Below are 638 nucleotides of genomic sequence, written 5' to 3' on the forward strand. Positions count from 1 at the left end.
ATCTATTGAAATGATCACGTGATTTTCTTTTTAATTCTGTTTATGTGATGTATCACATTTATTGACTTGCGGGTGTTAAACCATCCCTGCATCCCTGTATGAAACCAACTTAATCATGGTGGATTATCTTTTTGATATGCTGTTGGATTTAGTTAGCTAATATTGTGTTGAAGAGTTTTGCATCTGTGTTCATCAGGGATATTGGTGGGTGTTTTTGTTGTTGTTGTTATGTCCTTTCCTGGTTTTGGTATTAGGGTGCTACTGGCTTCATAGGATGATTTAAGAAGGATTTCCTCTTCTCTACATTTTGAAACAGTGTCAATAGGATATGTACCAATTCTTCTTTGAATATCTGATAGAATTCAGCTGTGAATCCATCTGGTCCTAAACTTTTTTTGGTCGGCAATTTTTAAATTATCATTTCAATCTTGTTGCTTTTGGTCAGAGTTCAGAGTTTCTATTTCTTCCCAGTTTAATCTAGGAGAGTTGTATATTTCCAGAAATTTATCCATCTCCTCTAGGTTTTCTAGTTTGTGTGCATAAAGGTGTTCATAGTAGCCTTGAATGATCTTTTGTATTTCTGTGGTATCAGTTGTAATATCTGCTGTTTCATTTCTCATTGAGTTCATTTGGATCTT

The sequence above is a fragment of the Homo sapiens genome, chromosome 6, assembly GCF_000001405.40.
Source record: "Homo sapiens chromosome 6, GRCh38.p14 Primary Assembly".
NCBI classification, from domain to species: domain Eukaryota; kingdom Metazoa; phylum Chordata; class Mammalia; order Primates; family Hominidae; genus Homo; species Homo sapiens.